This window comes from Homo sapiens, chromosome 7, assembly GCF_000001405.40.
Source record: "Homo sapiens chromosome 7, GRCh38.p14 Primary Assembly".
Classification (NCBI taxonomy): Eukaryota; Metazoa; Chordata; class Mammalia; order Primates; family Hominidae; genus Homo; species Homo sapiens.
The window spans coordinates 3,664,442-3,685,934 of NC_000007.14; the positions used below are offsets into that span (position 1 = coordinate 3,664,442).

The window sequence follows — 21,493 nt, forward strand, 5'->3', positions numbered from 1 at the left end:
AATTTGAGAACTAGCATCCGGGCACAGTGGCTCACACCTGTAAACCCAGCACTTTGGGAGGCCGAGGTGGGTGGATCACTTGAGGTTAGGAGATCGAGATCAGCCTGGCCAACATGGTGAAACCATGTCTTCTACTAAAAATACAAAAATTGGCCGGGCATGGTGGCGGGCATCTGTAATCCCAGCTGCTTGGAAGGCTGAGGCACAAGAATCGCTTGAACCCAGGAGGCAGAGGTTGCAGTGAGCCGAGATTGTGCCACTGCACTCCAGCCTGGGCAACAGAGCGAGACTCTGTCTCAAAAAAAAAAAAAAAAAATTGAGAACTAGCAATAGTCTGATAGAGCTTTTGGTCTGCTTTCAAATCTGCATGTGTTCTAATAACTTGGCATCTTTCTTACGGCTCTGAGATGAAGAAACATTGCCTCCAAGAAACAGAAACTGTTACTTTCATATCTTATTTGAAAAATGGCAATGATTTTGGAGGACAGTCTGTCATTTTCCAGAGGAACAGATGTGACCCATATCCACAGCAGGATGATTCAGACCATTATAAACTTTGAGTAGGCTCTTCTGAATAACTCAGAGATCCTTGAGTTTACCTGAAAGTAGAGAAATGAATTAATGATGTAAGTCTGTAAGAAAGAGTGGACTCTCTGGCTGTTGTTTTTCTGAAGCCTATGAAACCTCGTAGATGGGCCCTTCCTATGTGAAGTAGGTCCCAGGTGTGAATGCCCTCTGTGCCTCCTCAACAGGAGACCCACACATGGGGACCACCCTGTGCACGCAGAGCAGTCCACTATCATCCCCACCTACAGTGATGCCTTGAGCCCCCTCTTTCACTATATTTTCCCGTGGCCTCACCTACAGGAACAGTTTGAGCAGATTCTGCAGGTTGTTAACATTAGAGAAAACTTGCATGAATCTACATATCAGTTAAAATAATGAATAGTTCTTTTAGTCCTGCTCTAGCCTCTGCTGCCTTATATCACATTTTGCAATTCTTTGAGGGTAGGGATTGATTTTTGTTCACCTTTGCATCTCTTGTATACAACACACCATAGCACACCACACATATTGATGTTCAAGAAGTATTTGTTTGGTTGAATGAATGGAGCTTTGTCTTGTGCCTGACTAGTTAATAAATATTTTTATGTTTGTTTCCTTGTCCTTCTCTTTTTTGCATGGGGAGGGAGTGCCACAGCAAGAGGCAACTAGAAGTAGTATTTCGTGGTGACTGCAGGACATGTCGTGCCATTCATTGAGCATTGGTGCTTTCTCTCACGTGGATCCTGCTGCCATCTGCAGTCTTTGTTTATGCTCCCCTTGCCCTCCAAAGTCTGGAGACAAAAGTGATAAAGTTGATTCATGCTTGGAGTATCCAGCGTTCCTTGTGTTGCTTTTCTCTCTTTATTAACAGATGTAGATTGACTTAGTGATGAAGATGTTTCCTCAGTTGGTTCCATTTATGAAGGGCAGGGAAACTCAGAACACCTTCTACCATCTTCCCACAATTTCTCGGTTGGCTCACACTTCCTATTCCAATTAGTCAGGGGGTTCACTCTTTCTTCCTGCCACCACCTTTGTTCTGGCCATTGGCATAATTCTGCTTAGATTCCTGCAGGAAATCTCAGCTGATCTCCAAGTATCCAGCTTTGTCCTTTATTCACCTCCTAATCCAGTTAACCAGATGTTTCTGAAGGTGGCATATGACACCCCCACCCCACTCACCTTTAAAATCCTTTTAGTAGTTTCCGGGCCTCAAGATGAAGTTCGAGCACTGGTCCTCCTGGCCTTGTGCCGCCTGCATCTGGCCTTGTCTGTCGGGCTTGTTTCTCCTTTTCCCTTCACAAGGCAGCCACGCTCAGCCTTGTACACTGTCCCAGCTGCCCCAGGTCTCTTGTCATGGGACTTTGCACATGCCGTCCCCCTGCCTGGAATGCCATCACCATGCTGGATTTTACTTTTAGCTTCAGATTTTATCTTACATTTCAGATCTCATCACTTTCTCTGAGACCATTTCCCAGGCTCCTGCCCTCACCCTGCTGCCGACACACAGCAGGTTCAGTGTGGTTTCCCTGGGGTCTGGCGACACCTCTCCCTGTTGCAGGTCTTGTCTGCCGTGTGCTGCCATGGCTTGGGCCTTGCTTCTCTGTATATCATAAGCTCCTGAGGACAGACACTCTGTATCTCAGGCCCTAAAATAGTGCCTTGTGCGTCGTTGGCGATTGGTATTTGTTTGAATAAATTAATTGTTTTATGCCTAATATTAATTTTCTTTTCATAATTACCTGTCAAAGTACATTTGTGAAAACAAAAAAAATCAAAGGAGAGACATCCTTTAATGATGTCAGTGGTGAGATCAGGTGGTCCATGCCTTCCTATCTCAGGTCTTGCAGGGTGGAAACGAGGGATAAATGCCTGACGTTTCCCCTTGTCTGCATCTGCTATCCGTCACAAGAGGTGTTGGCTGGTGCAGTCACATCACACTTTTCTAAACTCAGAATTGAAGTGAGTTTTTTATTTACTTTTTTTTTAAGGACTTGTGTTTGGTGTTTTGGGGTGTTCTTACGGTTTGGGAAATTTTATGCTAAGGACTTGTTCTTTCCATTAAGTGCTCCTAGAAGAAAAATAAATGACAAAAGAAATAAAAATCCCAATGAATTGTGACATATTGTAATATGTCTTGTGCATATCTGTGTACCTTGGCAGATTATTCTGACCTAACTGTAGCTAATTTTCATTTGAGAAATACATGTCCATGAAGTTTATATAGTGTGTTCAAATGTAATTTTATTATAACCATATTATTATAAAAAACACACATTTGTATAGAGAACACTGCAGCATCTACTTATTCCATTATTACAATGGTAACACCATTTATTTTTTATGAGTCACTTGTAGAATGACATTTTGGCAATAAGTCAATGAGTTTATCATGGAAAAGTCTTCCTCCCAACCTCCTCCTACCCTGAGGCTTTTCTATTCAGAGGGAATATCTTTTTCACCCTCATGCTTAAGATTCAAGGATAGAATTCACTCTTTTTGATATATAGCTTGATGAATTTTGACAAACATACAGTGTTGATCCACTACCACAATCATAAAATATAAAATAGTTCTATCACCGCCCAAATTCTCCCACACTCCATTGTGATCAACTCTTCCTCCACCAGGAGACCCTGGCAGTCACAGATCTGTTTTCTGTCCCTATAGTTTTGCATTTTCTAAAATATCTTATGAATGGGATCCTAAAGTATTTAGCCTTTGAATCTGGCTTGTTTCAGTTCTCGTAATGCATCTGGTACTCATCTCTTTGTTGCACATATCAGTACTTTGTTCTTCTTTATTCATAAGTAGTATTTTATTGTGTGCATGTACCACAGCTTGTTATTCTATTCCCCAGTTGAAGGGCATTTGGGATTGTTCCAGTTTTGGCCATTTGCAAATAAAGATGCTAGAAACATTCACAAATATGTTTGCACATGAACATAAGCCTTTATTTTGCCCAGTTACATGCTTGGAGTAGACTTTCTGGTAAGTGTATGTTTATTTAACTTTATAAGAAACTTATAAGAAACCTCAAAGTCCTCAGGGAAATAATCAGAAACTTAGCTTGCTATACCTAACAAAACTATCATTTGAGGTAGGGGACAGAGGGATAATGGCAGTTTTAGACATGCAAGCCATTCTCATTATGTTTTACTGCTTAATAAGCTGCCCTGAAACCCATCTTAGAACAAAATAATCAGGTGTTTTGTACACAAATCTGCAATTTGAGCAGGAGTGGGAAGGCTTATCTTTGCTCCACCTGGTGTCAGCTAGGGTGGTTCCACTGATGGCAGTAGATTCCTCTTCCAACACGACTCACTTTCATGGCAAAAGTTGGTATTGACTGTTAACTGAGAGTTCATCAGAGTTAATGACCAGAGACCCCAGTTCCTTTCTACATGGACCTCTCCATGGGCATGGACTTCCTTCAAAGATTATATGCTGGGTTCCAAGGACAAACATACAGAGAGAAGCTGTCACATAAAAACTATATTGCCTTGGGCCTGGTGCAGTGGCTCACGCTTGTGATCTCAGCACTTTGGGAGGCCGAGGCAGGCAGATCACATGGTCAAGAGTTCGAGACCAGCCTGGGCAAGAGACCAGCCTGGCCAATATGGTGAAACCCCATCTCTACTAAAAATACAAAAATTAGCCGAGTGTGGTGGTGTGCACCTGTAATCCCACCTACTCGGGAGGCTGAGGCAGGAGAATCACTTGAACCTGGGAGGCGGAGTTTGCAGTGAGCCAAGATGGCGCCATTGCACTCCAGCCTGAGTGATAGAGTGAAATTCCTACTCAAACAAAACAAAACAAAATACTATATTGCCTTTTATGATGAGCCTTGGGAGTCACAAAGTGTCCATTTTCACCATTGTGTCACTAGCTGAAAGAGTCACAAAGGCCTGCCCAGGTTCAGGAGAAGGAGCCATAGACCTGTCCCTGTGTGACGTCATGGGAGGCTCTGGCAGAGCATGTCTGGTAAGGAATGTTGCTGTGCCCCATTTGAAAAGGACAATTGGCCACATAAGGGCTCAAGAAGTTTACCACTTACCAAAGCTCTTTGAGAGAATCTAAAAAGGACACATTCCAGGGAGAAAAGTAAATCTGAGAAGAAGTAGAATATTAGGAGTGATAATGAACAAATAAGGTGGTAAAACATATTGGTTAGTGTAAATGAATGTTGAATATTTTGAAAAGCAAAGAAATGTGGAATTGAAATCCCAAATTATAAGAGCATGGAAAGCAGTGTAGGAGCAGAGGGGATTAAAAACCTGTTAAAGTTACTGCTTTGTCTCATAAACAGATACAGAAACAGATTAACTACAGACCTTGTTGCAGAATTTTTATATTTGGAACATGTTCAGGTTTTACAGCACCTTCTTACCCCCTTTTCATTGAACTCTTGAAGATCTACTTCTGCTCCCACCAAAACAGAATCATCTTTGAGTTCTTACTCTCCTTGAACTTCGCTGGTATTGACTGTTCGGTTTACTTCCACCTTCTTTAACCACTCTCTTCTTTTGAATTCAATAACACAACACACTCCTGCTCATTTTTTCTGGCTCTCTTCTTCTTAGACCTCTTTGCCAACTTGCCTTCCTCCACCTGTCTTTAAACCTTGGATTTCCTCAATCCTTGGTCCTAGCACTTCACTACCTCCCACCTTATTCTCCCTCCTTAGGTAAGTTCATCCAAGCTCATCAGCTCACATACCAACTATAGCACTTGCAGATGACTCACAATTTTACATCTCCAGCCCACATCACTCCTTTGAGTTTCAAACCTATGTATTCAACAGCCTATTCATTGTATTTTCCTGGAGTTTTTTCAAAGGTGCTTCATACTCAGTAGGTTGAAAACAGAACTCTTTTTTCTTCATTGACCCTATTTTCCCTGCCTTACTCCTGGCTCTCCTTTCTTAACATAAATGACACTGCCATCCAACAGTTGCCCAAGCAAGAACCAAGGAATTATCCTTGATACTTCTTTTTCTCTTCCACCACATCCAGTCAATCACCAGTTTCTCTTATTGTACCACATGTTATCCCACAAATCTACTCACATCATTGTGTGTCCACCTCTGCCACCATTCCTGACCAAACTCTTGCCTCTTTCATTGGTCTCTACCTTGTTTCCCTATGTTTATTTTGTCTTCTCTCTCCATTCCCCATGCTGTGGTCAGAATGATATATTAATATGAACCTGATCTTGTTACTCTGTTCCTTCAAATCCATTAGTATATTAGTCTGAGTAACCAAATCCTTAATATAAACAGCAGGGTTTGTGTAATTCAGTTCCTTCCCTTATCTACCTAAATTTTTTCTTCCATCTCTTTCCCTCTGACGTCCAGCCACAGCCACTTTGGTATATTGGTTACGTTCTTAGTTTCCCGGATCAGATACCTGAGTTTGAATCTTAACTTTTCACTTACTAGGTATGATCTTAGACAAGTTCTTAAACAAAACAAAACTTTTATTAATGGACAAGTTCTTGAACCTATGCATCAGTGTTCTCATCTCTGAAATGCAGTTATTAGTCTCAGCTTCTTAGGGGATTTGTGTGAATTAAATGAGATGAAACGTGTGCGGTGGTAGCACAGTGACTGACAGTTAATAAGCCCCCAGTAAATGTTAGATTATTTGCTTAACGAACCACCTCCCTTCTTGTCTCTGGGAATTCTCGTTGCTCTCCCCACTTATACAGGATACCCACCCGCTTGCTTCCCTTGCTTAGTACTGACTTATCCTTCTGCAGCAAAGGACCTTACATCCCAGCTGGCTCAGGACAGACCCAGTTTATGTCTGTTGTAGATCAGTTAACATTTACTGTTTTTAGGTATCCCCTTTTACTACTGGTTTGTGAAATAAATTAGATGATCACCCTTTTGTGCTCAGTTCAAGAGTAACCTTTTTTAGGAAACCTTCTTTGATTCCTACAAGGACAGGTCGTCTATTATTTGTTCTTACAGCACATCCTGTAACTTTTTTTTGCCATAGTTACCACGATTACAGTTAAAACAGTTCATTGCATAACTAGTTCCTTGAGGTTTGTTTCTCCTATTGGGCTCTAGGCCCTTGGAGGACTGGGACCTCAAGGCGGGGGGTGTCTTGCCTTACCCCTGAGTTTTCAGCATTGGTCTTATCCAAGTCATTACTCAGTATATTTAGAGGAGACAAGAAACACTGAACAGGATCTGGTTTGGACTTCGTGTCTGTTTCTGACTTTAAATGTCAAGTCACTTCCTCTCACTGTCTCTTCATTTCTTCATCTTGTAAATTCAGAAAATTAAGCTTAATGTTCTCTAGAATTCCATCGGCCTCTACATTGTGTGAGTCTAGCCCATCAGGGACATTTTTTAAACCAATTTTTAAATATTTATAGTCACAAATTTAAGAAGGAAATGGAATCAATGTACATCTCCCCAAAGACAGAGTAAAATACTTTGTTGCTCATTGAATGAAGCTCTGGTCATTACCCTTTTTGTTATTATGATTCCTAATTTGTAAGCTCTGATGTTATCCCTTCTTTCTCAATATAGCTGAGACAAATGTGTAGTCTGTATGATCATATCATTGCTGTTATACCTATTTACAAGTTTAAGACTGAGTCAATAGAAAAAAATCCAAGTGAAGAGTGTTTAAAATAAACTTGTGTTTCTCCAGGAAGTTAACTAATCAAACACTTTTCATTGTAGATGTTGTCATTCAGTACAAAATAATCCCTGAGACAGTCTCATGAAAAACCTAATGCATTTTTTGGTGAGTTTTATAATGAGATTAAAAAGAAATTAAGAGCAGGAAGTGAAATTATAACGCCAGTGGGAAATCTTTGAAACCATTTTATAGTTTTTTCCTTCTTATGTAATATGTCTGTGAGATTGGGCAGGTTTTTGTTTGCTTGCTTGCTTATTGTTTGTGTTTATAATGTGGAGGAATCAGCTGAACTTGACTTATCCCTTTACAACTGATCCATGCCTACACAGTAGTTGCTTGGAGCTAAAAGCAGGAACACATGGACCCTGAGGCATAGCTGCTCTGAAGTCCTGGCGGCCTCTGGGAGGGCTTATCCATGATATGGGACACAGGGTCTCCTGAGGTCTTGGAGGAGTTTTCCTGGTAACTCTGAGGAGTGGCGGGTCATGGTGTGGTGACCATTGGTCTAACCTGAAGGACTATAGGAATGAGGGCAGGGAGAATTGTAGGGAGGCAGCCGATGCTGCTGGTGAGAATGAAAACATCCTCAGAGTGGCTTCCATACCCATCCTGTTTCTGTAGTGCCCAGTTATTGTGAATACCCATCACACGTTATTCTATCACAGCAAGCAGCTCATCTACCCTACTGCACCCCCAAGTTCTTGAAGTGTCTCTCTGTTTCTTGCCGTTACTGGAGGTAAGCCAACATGAAAGATGAAAGCTGTGTTTATACTTCTACTGCAAACTCTTGAGGAAAAAAACAGAGGCATTAGCCAAAAGAGATAGGACATACAGGCAAAGAAGAAAGATGAGCTGGAAACCAGTACCTAAATAAGTCCAAAAGCAATCTATTTATAGATCCCAGAGTGAGATCGATAAAGGAGATGATGTGGAGAAATATATATATATAATATATATATTTATATAATATAATATATAATAATATATATTAAATATATATTAAATAAATATTAAATTTATATATAAATTTGTTATTAAATAAAATTTATATTAAATAAAAATTAAATTTATATTAAATAAAAATGTAATATATATTTTTATAATATATAATTTTATATATATATATATATATATATATATATATATATAAAAAATACAGAAAGCTCTAAGTATGCACAGATCACACTTTTGCCAAAATAGGCACCTACAATGAGGGCCCCATCCCCACCCTTGAGGGTTTGGAGTGATCTTTGGGTAAAAGCTCTATTCTAACTCTTGAAATGGTTAAACTTTTTCTAGATGCATCTTTTAATATTACTTCCTCTTTTATTCCTTTTTTCTATTTTTTTTAAATAAGCATCTTTGCTTTACTTCTTTTAGCTATGAAGCAGCTCTTGCTGATAGTAAATAAATACTTAAAGTATGAAGATACTTCCTTGTAGCATTTGACCAATTTGTAAGGCAGCGGTTCCTCAATTTCAGTGATGCACCAAGCTTTTCCGAAAATGAGTTCCAAAGGGAATTGATTTTTATCTGCAATACTCTCATCCTACAGACAGGATATTGACTACACTTGATAGAATGGAAGTGTAAATCCAGAATGAAGCATTGCAGGAACAAATCCCATGGGGGCGGTTCATGATCAACAGAATCATTCATTGGACGGAAAGATCGGAGAGCTAGACAGTGTCAATAGAGACAAAAGGGGAAATAAAAGCATTCATTTCCTGAAAGAGTCTTTTCCTGGAAGGTTTTTGTTGACTGGCTCTTCCTTTTAGTATACTCTCTATTCCTAGTTGTTTATCAGCTTATGTGAGAACCTTAAAACTCATAATCATTTATAATCAATGTTTAAACATGGAAAAATAAAAGTACATACCATAGGCCCCGCCGGCCTGTTATTACATGAGTTTATTAACATTCACTGTGAGATGCCTTGGTATAGACTTACCCCTTTTTATTTCTGTCTCATGTTGTTTTGGATATTCTGCTTTGCTAATGCATTAGGTAGTTTCGTCTTGCTCTGCAAAGACAAAAGCTCAGTCATTGACCTGGAGGGCCCAAAACTGCGCCCCCTGCTGCCTTGTGTATTTGGTGGCTGGCATAGTCAGTTCATTATGTGGCAGGCAAAAGTTTGCATTCCAAGGGCGGAAGACATACACATTGGTTTTGTTTGAGAATTATATCATAAAACTGAGTTCTAAGTACTTCTTGAACATTGAGATTATTATTGATGAACTGATTATAAAGTATTCTTAAATATAAACCCAAAGCAAATTTTATTAAAAATAAATAGAAATTTGATTAAGAATAAGAGATAATTTCTAATAACTTTTTGGTAGGTGACAGCAGGGAGATTTGTTTGATCATGGAGTTTTTAAATGCTTTTAAGTCTTGAAGTCCATTAAGGCATAGAAGAGAGAATAGGAGAAAAAAACATCTCTGAATGGCACAGACCGATCACATGTTGATTGAAGCACAGTCAATGTGTATACTGAAATTGTGAGTCAAGAGCTATATCACTAAAAGATAAGGGAAAGACAGCATCAGAAATTGACTACAACAACGAAGGTGTAGTGGGAGATAAAGTTAGACGACATGAGATTCAGTGTTACAGATGGAGGCAATTTGAGAAGAGGCGGGTGGAGTGTAGTGAGCATGGTAATGAGAAGGAAGGAGGGCATCTACCCCACGTCCAAGTCCAAAGCAGGGTGGGAGAGACCTAGAGAGGGCTGCTAGGGCATGAGTGTCAGCAGGGGAGGACCAGCCTTCCTGTTGAGCAAGAAGAAGAAACATTTAGAGGAGAGGGTGACAATACAGGGGCCTTTGCTGAGGCTGGTCTTTGAGTCACAGAAAGCACAATGGAAGTGGTTAAGGAGTTTTGGTTTGGTGAGGGATGTAGTGTGGAGTAAGAGCTGTTCATGGCTGTTTGGGGATTCATATACAGGAGATGAGGGATGAATTGAGATTCTAAGACTTTATTCCATAAATACGGACAAAGGGCAGTGATGTGTTGTTCAGTGTTTGATAACTATAACTGGCTCTTGGCAGGGAAGAGCCCTGATGTGTAGCTTTTTCCAATTTTCATGGTGTGAATACTCCCACCACAGTGTATTCCAGGTGACCAACATGACGTCTTTCTATAAGGAGTTGGACAGAGATCCACAAGATTGGCTCTGTGTTCAGCACGCATTGGGTAAAGGGCATGGCTGGATTAATGCTGGTAGACTCAAGCCAATCATTAGGCAAGGCTGTGAGTGGTAGGGAGTAGAGGGCATTTGGTATCCTTCCTGACCCCTGTGGATAGAAGCATAGTGACCTGAGGAACAATAGTCTTCTTGGTGTGTGGGCCATATAAAAACAAGCCTGCATCAAATTCTGTACATGGGTTAGAGTTTGCTAGCCACGGCTGTAAACCTTCTCATGCCCGTGAGCCATCTCCACGTGTGAATCTAACAGATATCTCCAATGTTGATCTCCCTCCATGCCCCAAACCTGCTCCACCCATAGTCTATATCATATCATTTCATGGCAGCTTTATCTTTCAAATGGTTCAGGCCAAAACCTTGATCTTTCACCCATAGCCACAGAAAAACCTGTTAGCTTTCCTTTCAAAAGCTATTCAAAATCCAACATTTAGCTGTTTTCACTGCTACCACTTTGGACCAAGTGATGGTCGTCTACAGCTGGAATTATTATAACAGCTTCTGGTCTGTGGTCTAGTCTTCTTGCTTGCTTGTATTCAACACTTAGCTAATCTTTTTTTAGAATGTAAGTTAGATCATGTCAGTCTTCAAAATCAGAAATTTCCAGTTTCCTGTTTCATTCACATTAAATGCTGGAGTACTTAAAGTGGCCTACAAAAGTCTACATAATATGCTCCCCATTACCTTTCTTCCTCCCCCTACTCCTTTTTGTTTGTTTGTTTGTTTGTTTGTTTGTAAAGAGATGAGGTCTTGTTCTGTCACCCAGGCTGGAGTATAGTAGCATGGTCATAGCTCACTGCGGCCTGGAACTCCCGGTCTCAAGCCATCCACTTACCTCAGCCACTACAGGCATTTTTGTAGAAACTGAGTCTCACTGTATTGCCCAGGCTGGTTATGAATTCCTGGCCTCAAGTGATCCTCCCACCTTGGCCTCCCAAAGTTCTGGAATTACAGGTATGCCATGCCCCGTATGTCTTCTTTTGAGAAGTATCTGTTCATGCCCTTTGCCTACTTTTTAATTGGGTTGTTTTTTGCTTGCTGATTTATCTAACTTCCTTTTATACGTTCCTTATATGTTCTGAATATTAGACATTTGTTGAATGCATAGTTCCTGAATATTTTCTCCCATTCTGTAGGTTGTCTGTTTGCTCTATTGAGTTTCTTTTTTTGTGGCACTATCACGGCTGACTGCAGCCACAAACTCCCAGGCTCAAGCGATTCTTCCACCTCAGCCTCCCAAGTAGCTGGGACTACAGGTGCATGCCATCACACCTGGCTAAATTTTGTATTTTTTTGTGGAGACGGGGTCTCACTATGTTGCCACCTGGCTAAATTTTGTATTTTTTTGTGGAGACGGGGTCTCACTATGTTGCCCAGACTGGTCTCAAACTCCTGGGCTCAAGTTATACTCCTGCCTTGTCCTCCGAAAGTGCTGGAATTACACGTACCACACCTGGCCTCTTCTAGTACTTTTTTTTTTTTTTTTTTTTTGAGACGGAGTCTTGCTCTGTCGCCCAGGCTGGAGTGCAGTGGCGCAGTCTCAGCTCAGTGCAAGCTCCACCTCCCAGGTTCACACCATTCTCCTGCCTCAGCTTCCCAAGTAGCTGGGACTACAGGCGCCTGCCACCACGCCCAGCTAATTTTTTATATTGTTAGTAGAGACGGGGTTTCACCCTGTTAGCCGGGATGGTCTCAATCTCCTGACCTTGTGATCTGCCCACCTTGGCCTCCCAAAGTGCTGGGATTACAGGCGTGAGCCACCACGCCTTGCCCTCTTCTAATATTTTTTAAGCTTGAGGTCTTATATTTAAGTCTTTAAACCATCTTGAGTAAATTTTTGTATATGATGATAGAAAGGAGTTCAATTTTATTCTTCTGCATATGGATATCCCATTATCCTAGCAACATTTATTGAATAGGGAATCTTTACTCCATTGCTTATTTTTGTTGACTTTGTTGATCAGATGGTTGTAGGTGTGTGGCTTTATTTCTGGGTTCTGCTCCATTGGTCTGTGTGTCTACTTTTGTATTCATACCATGCTATTTTAGTTTCTTAGGCCTTGTAGTATAGTTTGAAGTTGGGTAATGTGATGCTTCAACTTTGTTCTTTTTGCTTCTCTAACCTCATCTTTTACCTACTTCTGTTCCCTGGACATACCAAGGATTCCTGCACCTCTTGGCCTCTGGGATGTTTGTTTCTTATGACTTCTTCAAGAAATCTGGGTGGCTAATTTTGTACTTTTTTCAAATATCCTTTTCTTAGTGAAGACTTTTCTGGCCACCCTACTTAAACCCTTGGAATTTCCAACTCTCCCACAGGGATTCTGCTCTGTGTGCGAAGGGGTATGTGTGTATGTGTGTGTGTGTGCATGTAGGTGTGTACACTATTTTTATTTAACATACGATAAGCATCTTTGGCCCTGGATTCTTCTTTTTTAGATGTTAATATTGTTGTATTAGTCTGTTCTAACACTGCTAGTAAAGACATACCCAAGACTGGGTAATTTATAAAGGAAAGAGTTTTAATGGACTCACAGTTCCACATGGCTGGGGAGGCCTCACAATCATGGCTGAAGGTGAATGAGGAGCAAAGTCAGGTCTTACATGCTGGCAGACAAGAGAGCTTGTGCAAGGGAATTCCCATTTATAAAAGCATCAGATCTCGTGAGACTTATTCACTACCACAAGAATGGTATGGGGGAAACCACCCCCGTGATTCAATTATCTCCACCTGGCCCTGCCCTTGACACATGGGGATTATTAAAATTCAAGGTGAGATTTGGGTAGGGACACAGCCAAACCATATCAATTGTTAAATGTAAAGACAGTGTTTATGAATTGAAAGATTCAATATGTGAATATATATTTTATATCTTAATGTGATCTTAAGACTTACTATGTTGCTGTGGTAAACAAGACAGTGTGGTATTAGTGGAGGGATAGACACATAGTTCAGTGGATGGAGTAGAGAACCCAGAAATATATTCACACATGGATAACCAGCTGATTTTTTGACAAGGGTACAAAACTCCATAGAATCTGATCAGAGGCTGATGTCCAGAATGTGTAAAGAACCCCTACAACTCAACAACAACAGAACAAACAAAGTATTTCCCCAGAGAAGATATACAAAAGGTCAGTAGGCTCATGAAGAGATGTTCAGTGTCATTAGTCATTAGTGGTCAAACCACAGCAGGTCATGACATTAACAGGTCAAAACCACAATTAGACACAACTTCACACCCCTTGTAACAGCTAATATAAAAAGTAGAAAATTAACAAGTGTTGGTGAGGATGTGGAAACAGTGGGGTCCTTGTGCATTGCTGGTGGAAATGTAAAATGGTTTAGCCACCGTGGAAGACCGTTGGTTGCTCAGAAAGTTAAAAATACAATTAACAGCAATTTCACATCTAGGTATATACCCCAAATAATTGAAAGCAGAGACCTAAACAGACCTTGTACACCAATGTTTATAGCAGCATTATTCACAACAGCAAAAATGTAGAAATAATCTAAGTGTCCATCAGCAGATGAATGGATTAACAAAATATGGTCTGTAGGTACCATGGACTATTATGTGCCCATAAAAGGCAGGAGCTTTGAAAAATGCTGCATCACGTGGACGAACTTTGAAAACTAATCATTCACTATGCTAAGTGAAACAAGCCAGACATAAAAGAACACCCATTGTGTGGTTTCACTTACATGAGGTCTCTAGAATACGCAAATTCATAAAGTCGGAAAGTAGAATAGAAGTCATCATGGCCCTGGGGGGAGGGAGAGATGGGAGTTACTGTGTCACAGGTACAGAGTTTCTGTTTGGGATGAAGAAAAAGTTCTGGATAGAAATAGTGGTGATATGCACAACACTGTGAATGTACTTAACACTATGAAATTGTAGACTTTAAAATCATTAAAATGATAGATTTCAGGCATATTTTACCACAGTTTTTTAAAAAGCAATTCAGGGGAGGAAAGGTGATCTTTTCAACAAATGGTGCTGGAGCAATTGGGTATCAACAGGCAAAATAATGAACCTGACCTAAACCTCACATTTTATATCTTTAAAAAAACTTAAATGAACAACAACAACAAAATGACAAAACATACGAGAGATTTAAATGTAAAATGTAAGGTTATAAAACTTTTTGGAAAACACAGGAGGAAATCTTCAGAGCCTACGGATTAGTGAACAATTTTTAGCTATGGCACCAAAAACATGATCAATACATGAAAACAAAATAAATTGAATTTGATCAAAAGTGAAAACTTGCTCTGGGACAGATGCTGCAAAGAGGAATGAAAAAACAGGCTGCAAACTAGGGGAAAATATTTGCCAGCCACATGTCTTTCAAAGGACTTTTATCTGAAATCTGTGAAGAACTCCTAAAATTCAATAGTAAAAATTCCTATTAGAAAATGGGCAAAGGAGGCCAGGTGCGGTGGCTCATGCCTGTAATCCCAGCACTTTGGGAGGCCGAGGCGGGTGGATCACGAGGTCGGGAGATCGAGACCATCCTGGCTAACATGGTGAAACCCCGTCTCTACTAAAAATACAAAAAAATTAGCCGGGCGCGGTGGCGGGCGCCTGTAGTCCCAGGTACTCGGGAGGCTGAGGCAGGAGAATGGCGTGAACCCGGGAGGTGGAGCTTGCAGTGAGCCGAGATCGTGCCACTGCACTCCAGCCTGGGCGACAGAGCGAGACTCCATCTCAAAAAAGAAAAGAAAATGGGCAAAGGAGATTAATAGACATTTCATGGAAGAGGATATACAGATGTCAAACAGGTATATGAAAATACCTTTGCCATCATTGGCCATTAGGAAAGCGCACTTTCAAACCACAATGAGATTTCACTTCCTACCTATCAGAATAGCTAAAATAAAGAGACAGTAACAACATCAAATACGTCGAGATGTAAAGAAATGGGATCAGTCCTGTATTGCTAGCTGCTGTGTAAACTGGCATATAGCCACTCTGAGAAACAGTGTGGCAGTTTGTCTAAAAACAAAACATACGCTTACCATATGACCCTATCGGTCACACTTCTTAGCATTTATCCACAGAAATGAAGACCTGTATTGACACAAAAATGCACACGCAAATGTTCACAGAGGCTTTATTTGTAATAGTCAAATTTTAGAGATTTATTTGAGATTAGTAAAAAAATCAGAAACCACTCAGATGTTCCTCAGTGGGTGAAAGAGTAAACAAGCCGTGGTGCATCCGCAGCATGGAATCCTTTGCGGCAATAAAAGGAATGAATGAATGAATGAACCAGGCAACGACTTGGCTGGATCTCAGGGGCATCATGCTTAGGGAAAAACCCAATCTCCAATCTCAAAAGGCTTTAGACTGTGTGAGTCCATTTATATTGCATTCTCAAAATGACTCAATTACGGAGATGGAGAAAATATTAATGGTCGCAGGGAGTTAGAGACGTAGGAGAGCTTGAGAGGGGAGGTGAGGGGAGACGGCTGGATGTGAATTTAGGTGGACAGCACAGGGGATCTTTGTCGTGGTAGGACAGTCTGTGTGTTGATTGTAGTGATGGTTGTATAAATGCGCACGTGATAAAACTGCATAAAACTATATGATTGTGCACACACAAATGAGTACATGGAAAAATGATGAAATCTAAGTGAGGTCTGGGTGTTGTTCCAATGACTATGCAGGTTTTGATATTGTACCATAGTTACATAAGGTTTTACTTTGGGGGAAATTAGATGAAGAGTACATAAGACCTTTCTGTACAATTTTGGTATCTTCTTATGAATTATTATTTAAAATCTAGTGATTTTAAAATACAGGTTTGCATCTTTTAATTATTGTCAAGTAACTATTTGCATATGAATGTCAAGAAATGGAACCTGTGGCATCTGAGAATCCCTAGGTTTGTTGTCTCCAGATGCAACTCCTCTTCCTCTTAAAGGCAACAGCTATCCTGACTTATGCGTTAGCCACTTTGTATTTCTTATTATTTATTTATTTATTTATTTATGTATTTTTTGAGATGGAGTCTCGCTCTGTTGCCAGGCTGGAGTTCAGTGATGCTATCTTGGCTCACTGCAACCTCCACCTCCCGGGTTCAAGCGATTCTCCTGCCTCAGCCTCCGGAGTAGCTGGGACTACAGGTGCACCCCATCAGGTCCAGCTAATTTTGTGTATTTTTTAGTAGAGATGGGGTTTCGCCATGTTGGCCAGGATGATCTCGATCTCCTGACCTTGTGATCCACTGCCTCAGCCTCCCAGAGTGCTGGGATTACAGGCGTGAGCCACCGCGCCCGGCTGCCACTTTGTATTTCTTTATAGTTTCACCATCTGAGTATGCCCCCGAGTGCTATAGTTTAGTTTTTTGACTTTATGTAAATGAAATCTGACTGTGTGAATCCTTGTGTTTCTAACTTCTTTGAACATAGTTTTTGTAGCATTCGTATTTGTTCTGGAAAGCATTCGTTTTCATTGCTGTTTAAGATTCCATTGTGTGTACACCCCAGTGAGTTCATTCATTTTAATGTTAGACTTTTCCTGATGAGATGATTATAAACTGCTGCTCTGACCTTTCCTGTACACATCCCTGGTGTACTTGTGGACATCTTTCTGTTGAGTTTTACCTCAGAATGGAATTACTGGGTCATAAAGGTAGGCAAGTCTTCAAATTTATTTTTCAAAATGCCAATTTTTCAAAATGATTTTCTTAACTGTCCATTTCTTTCAATAACACTTAATGTCTTTTGACATATCATACTTACTTACAGTGTATATTATGTGTCTCCCATCACTAAAATATAAGCTCCAAAGATCATGTGCTTTTTTTTTATATTTTTATCCCAAGTATCTAGAACAGAACATGGGACATAGTAGGCACATAATAATTACTTGTTGAATGAATACATTGAATCTATGAATGCTGCAGCCAAAAGATAGCTTTCTATTTATTGATTAACTTTCCTTTCACATGAATTGGATTAGAACAAACAGAGGTATAACATTTTTTTCCGAACCTCTTGGGACCAGATATGTTTTAGAATTCTGAGTTTTTATTTTTCATATTTTGGAAAGATTATACAGTCCCTATACTGTATGTAGCCCAGTATCACAAGAATGGTCTCTGAGAGCATAACATAATCAAATGTTTTAATGTTCTGCAGTGAAAAGTAAATGGGAGAAGAACAGACTCTAAACAGCCTTATATCAGTTAAAGTAGTTGTTTAGTTGGTAGAATTTTGAAGTATCTGCCTGTCAGACGACCAGTGAAGATTATGATGCTAAAAATTACACATCAGCATTTACAAAAATGGTTTACCTCTCTCTACCACTCTGTGAGATGATAGGCAACCCAGGTATTATTATACCCATTTCACAGATGATATTATGGAGGCACCAGAAAATGGGACTCTCACCCCATGGCTTACTAAACAGCAGAGCTGACACACAAATCTTGTCTTTCGATTCTGTCCAGTGCTTTTCAACTATGCCACAGTTGCTTCTTATTGAGGAAAGCAGCAATTTTTGAGATTTGTAAATTAACATTTCCAGAGGGGAAGAAAACTCCTCTATAATGAAGCTGTCACAAATCATGCACTGTCGTCCTGGTATCTGGAACAAAGCTAATGGCAGCGTTCCCACGGAGGCGCTCGTATGCACTGAACTGTCCAGGGTCAGAACTCACGTGTCTGCTGCAGAGACAGTGCTGAGCCCCCATGCATGGGGCAGTGAGCCTTCAGCACGGCTGGCCTCTCCTTCCTGTGTTCTTCCTTTCTTGAGAATTTTTTTCTTTTTACATCAGCTTCATAGAGCTGCCTGTTATACTCCAACCTGCTCTCCTCTCTCAGAAGGGGGGATCTCAAATCAAGCGTTTGGATTTACAGTTTTTTTTTTTTTTAAACAGAGTTTTGCTTTGTCACTCGATCTGATGGAGTTTTGCACTGCCAGATCATGCAGTGGCGCAATCTCAGCTCACTGCAACCCCCACTTCCCAGGTTCAAGTGATTCTCCTGCCTCAGCCTCCTGAGTAGCTGGGACTACAGGGGCCTGCCACCATGCTAATTTTTGTACTTTTAGTAGAGACGGGGTTTCACCATGTTGTCCAGGCTGGTCTGGAACTCCTGACCTCAAGTGATCCACCTGTCTCAGCCTCCCAAAGTGTTGTGATCACAAGTATGAGCTACCACGCGCGGCCTGGATTTATAAATTCAATAGCAAATATTTCTGAGAGTGATTTTCAGGCACAGTATTACCGAGCAAGGCATTTACGCTGAGTGGATTGATTGGGAGTGAATGTAGTGTGTGCAGTCTTCTTTCATATGATATTTCTTGCTTTTTCGTCTGTCTTTTCCACAGGTAAGCTACATGAGTGTATAGCTTTGTATCTGTGGTGTTTTCTGATGCTTCCCCAATGTTGATAACAGGACCCAGCACATACTATGCACTTGCCAAATACTTGCTTAATAAATGAATAATTATTTAAGCCTTTTATCTTTAAAAGATAATGCCTTTCAGCTCTGTTAACAAAACTGGTTTAGACAATAGGAAGCAGACAGGGAGATTTTTGAGGCGAGTAGGTAGTTTTAAACATGCCCTGTGAGAATACTCATCAGAGGTTATTATAATGATTTTTATGTAATCTTCTGTTAAGATTTTGTTCACTTCATGAGGACAAGAAACTCACATATACCTGGTGCATAGTAGGTGTTCAGAAACTATTTACTGAGCTCACGTTCCATCCAGGTGGAGCAGCCCCGTTCCTCCCAGGTCCTCCACCTCACAGCTAACATTCCCTGCGCCTAACATGGCAAGCGTGGAAGACTCTGGAGGGTGAAAGGAGAGGCAGCTGCCTGGGGACCTTGGGACTTGAGGCATGAGGTGCTGGTGGTTCTCTGAGTTTCCTTGTTGCCTTGTTGCCTTAGACACATGCATTACACGGCACATGTCCTAACAAGGAGCTGTAAAAACCTCTAATCTGGAACTAGCAATGGACACAGACACAAAATGCTCCAAGAACAGTCCTGTTTCCTCCAGGCATAGGGCTGGGCAAATTGTGGCCTAGTAACAAAAAATGTGTTGGCCACTCCTGTCCCAATGCAGCCACACAGGAATGAGAAAAGCACCCCCTTCATCACCTGGCCCTCCAGCTGGTTTCAGCGGGCAGAATGAAAGGTAATGTGCATCTCCACCGCTGCTCCACTCAAGCGTTCAGGTGCTCAAGTTCCGCTGTGGGGTGGTGGTGGCAGGCCTCAGTAGGAGCTGATCCTCCATTCCCTGCTCAGCAGTGACAGGTGGTACACTGATCCCTGCAACCCGTGCAGTCTCAGCAGGTCTAGCGTGGAGCTAAGCCTCTACCCCAACTCAGCATCAGGTACTTAAGGAGGGTGAGAGAAGCTGTGCAAGTTAACTATTAAGCATCACCCCACACACCCTTTCAGTCAGGCACAGGGAGGAACTGACCTTCAGTCCCAAGCTGCAGCTACAAAGCAATGGGAGTCAGCCTCCCCTCCCCCTTCCTGGTGGTTGTAAAGTGCATACTGAAGCTCACCCCTCACTGAGAAGCAGCAAGGGGAGAGGAGTCAGTGCTTCCCTTTTGCCATGATAGTGTTGGAGAAGCCCAGCATAAAGCTGAACACACATACCCAGCCGGCCTTTATGCTCCACATCCACAATGGGTAAGCCCACTAAAAAGAGATGCATAGGATGCAAAGGTCTTATTATATCATACCCAAAATATGTGGGATATACCTGAAGACCATTTATCATACTTAGAACCAGCAGAATCACAACTTGAATGAGAAAAGCCAATTATCAGATGCTAAATCAGAGATGAATGTGATGTTGGAATAATCTGGAAAATATTTTAAAGCAGCTAGTCATAAAAGTGCTTCGGTAAGTAATTTTGAATTCTCTTGAAATAAATGAAAAAAAAAAATAGAAAATCTTAGCACAGAAATAAAAGAGCCAATGGAAAGCAGAGAACTGAAAAATAGAATAACCAAAATAAAATACTCATTAGATGGGCTCAATAGTAGAATAGAGATGACACAGAGGACCGAATCCATGAACTTGAGGACAGGTCAAGAATGTAGCCAATCTGAACAACTAAGAAAAAATAGATTGGACACAACAACAATGGACCCAAAGGGACCTGTGGGACAAGACTGAGAGGTAACATTGGTATCATCAGAATTCATAAGGAGATGAGAAAGAAGGTTGGGCTGAAAATGTTTGAAGAAGTAATGTTTGACAGCATCTCCGATTTGGTAAAAAGCCTAAACCTATAAATTCGGGAAGCTGAGTGAACCTCAAATAGGATAAATGCAAATAAATTTATACCAAGACACATCATAAATAAACTTGTGAACATTAAGTTAAAAAAAAAAAGAGAGAAATGAGGGAATACTTATAAGGGCAGGTGAAAATGACAGCAGTCATTCGAAACTATGGAGGCTGGGAGGAAGTAGCAAATTTTTCAATCACCAAAAGAAAAGAACTGTGTACAGCAAATTTTGCATCTGGTAAAAACATCCTTCAAAAATGAAAGGAAAATCAAGATGTTCCTAAATGACAGAAAGGTAGGAAAAGATGTTAGCAAACCTGTCCTATTGGGGAAGAGCTGCATAAAATATTCTAAACAGAAATAATAGAATAAAAACCCGGACTTTAGAAAGAAAAGAATGTTGGAGCGCAGAAAAATAGGGGCAAATATAATACACAATCAAACTTCTGTTGAGGTTCATATGTGATGGTTGATGCAAAAATTGTAACTTTATGTGCTACTCAGTGAATGTAGAAGAAATATGTAAAACAATTACATTTTAGAAGTAGAAAAGGAAAGGAACCTAAATGGAAGTAAGGTTTCTACACTTCAAAGTATCATATATGTACATTGTGATACCCATATAACCACTAAGAAAACTATCCAAAATGAGATACAGAAAAACGTTAGAAATAAATCACAACGGACTTCTAAAAAATACTCAACCTATAGGAAGATAAGAAAAGAGAGAATAATAAGAATATAGGAAAATAATAAAATGGCACGTTTAACATGCATATCAATAATTATGTTAAATGTAACAGATCTAAATAT

At 40.5% G+C, this 21,493-nt stretch overlaps 1 protein-coding gene across 1 annotated transcript in view, besides 1 other annotated feature; it reads left to right on the top strand.

Annotated features, from left to right (window-relative positions):
• The window catches only part of SDK1 (sidekick cell adhesion molecule 1), a 967,749-nt gene that overhangs the window by 363,190 nt on the left and 583,066 nt on the right, over positions 1-21,493 (top strand). The window lies entirely within an intron of this gene.
• Positions 19,630-20,130: an enhancer, noted in NCBI's record as "H3K4me1 hESC enhancer chr7:3723703-3724203 (GRCh37/hg19 assembly coordinates)". NCBI's record gives its function as "activates a minimal SCP1, AML or CMV promoter by ChIP-STARR-seq in naive H9 embryonic stem cells {active_cell/tissue: H9 hESC(naive)}" and the evidence as "EXISTENCE:reporter gene assay evidence [ECO:0000049][PMID:30033119]".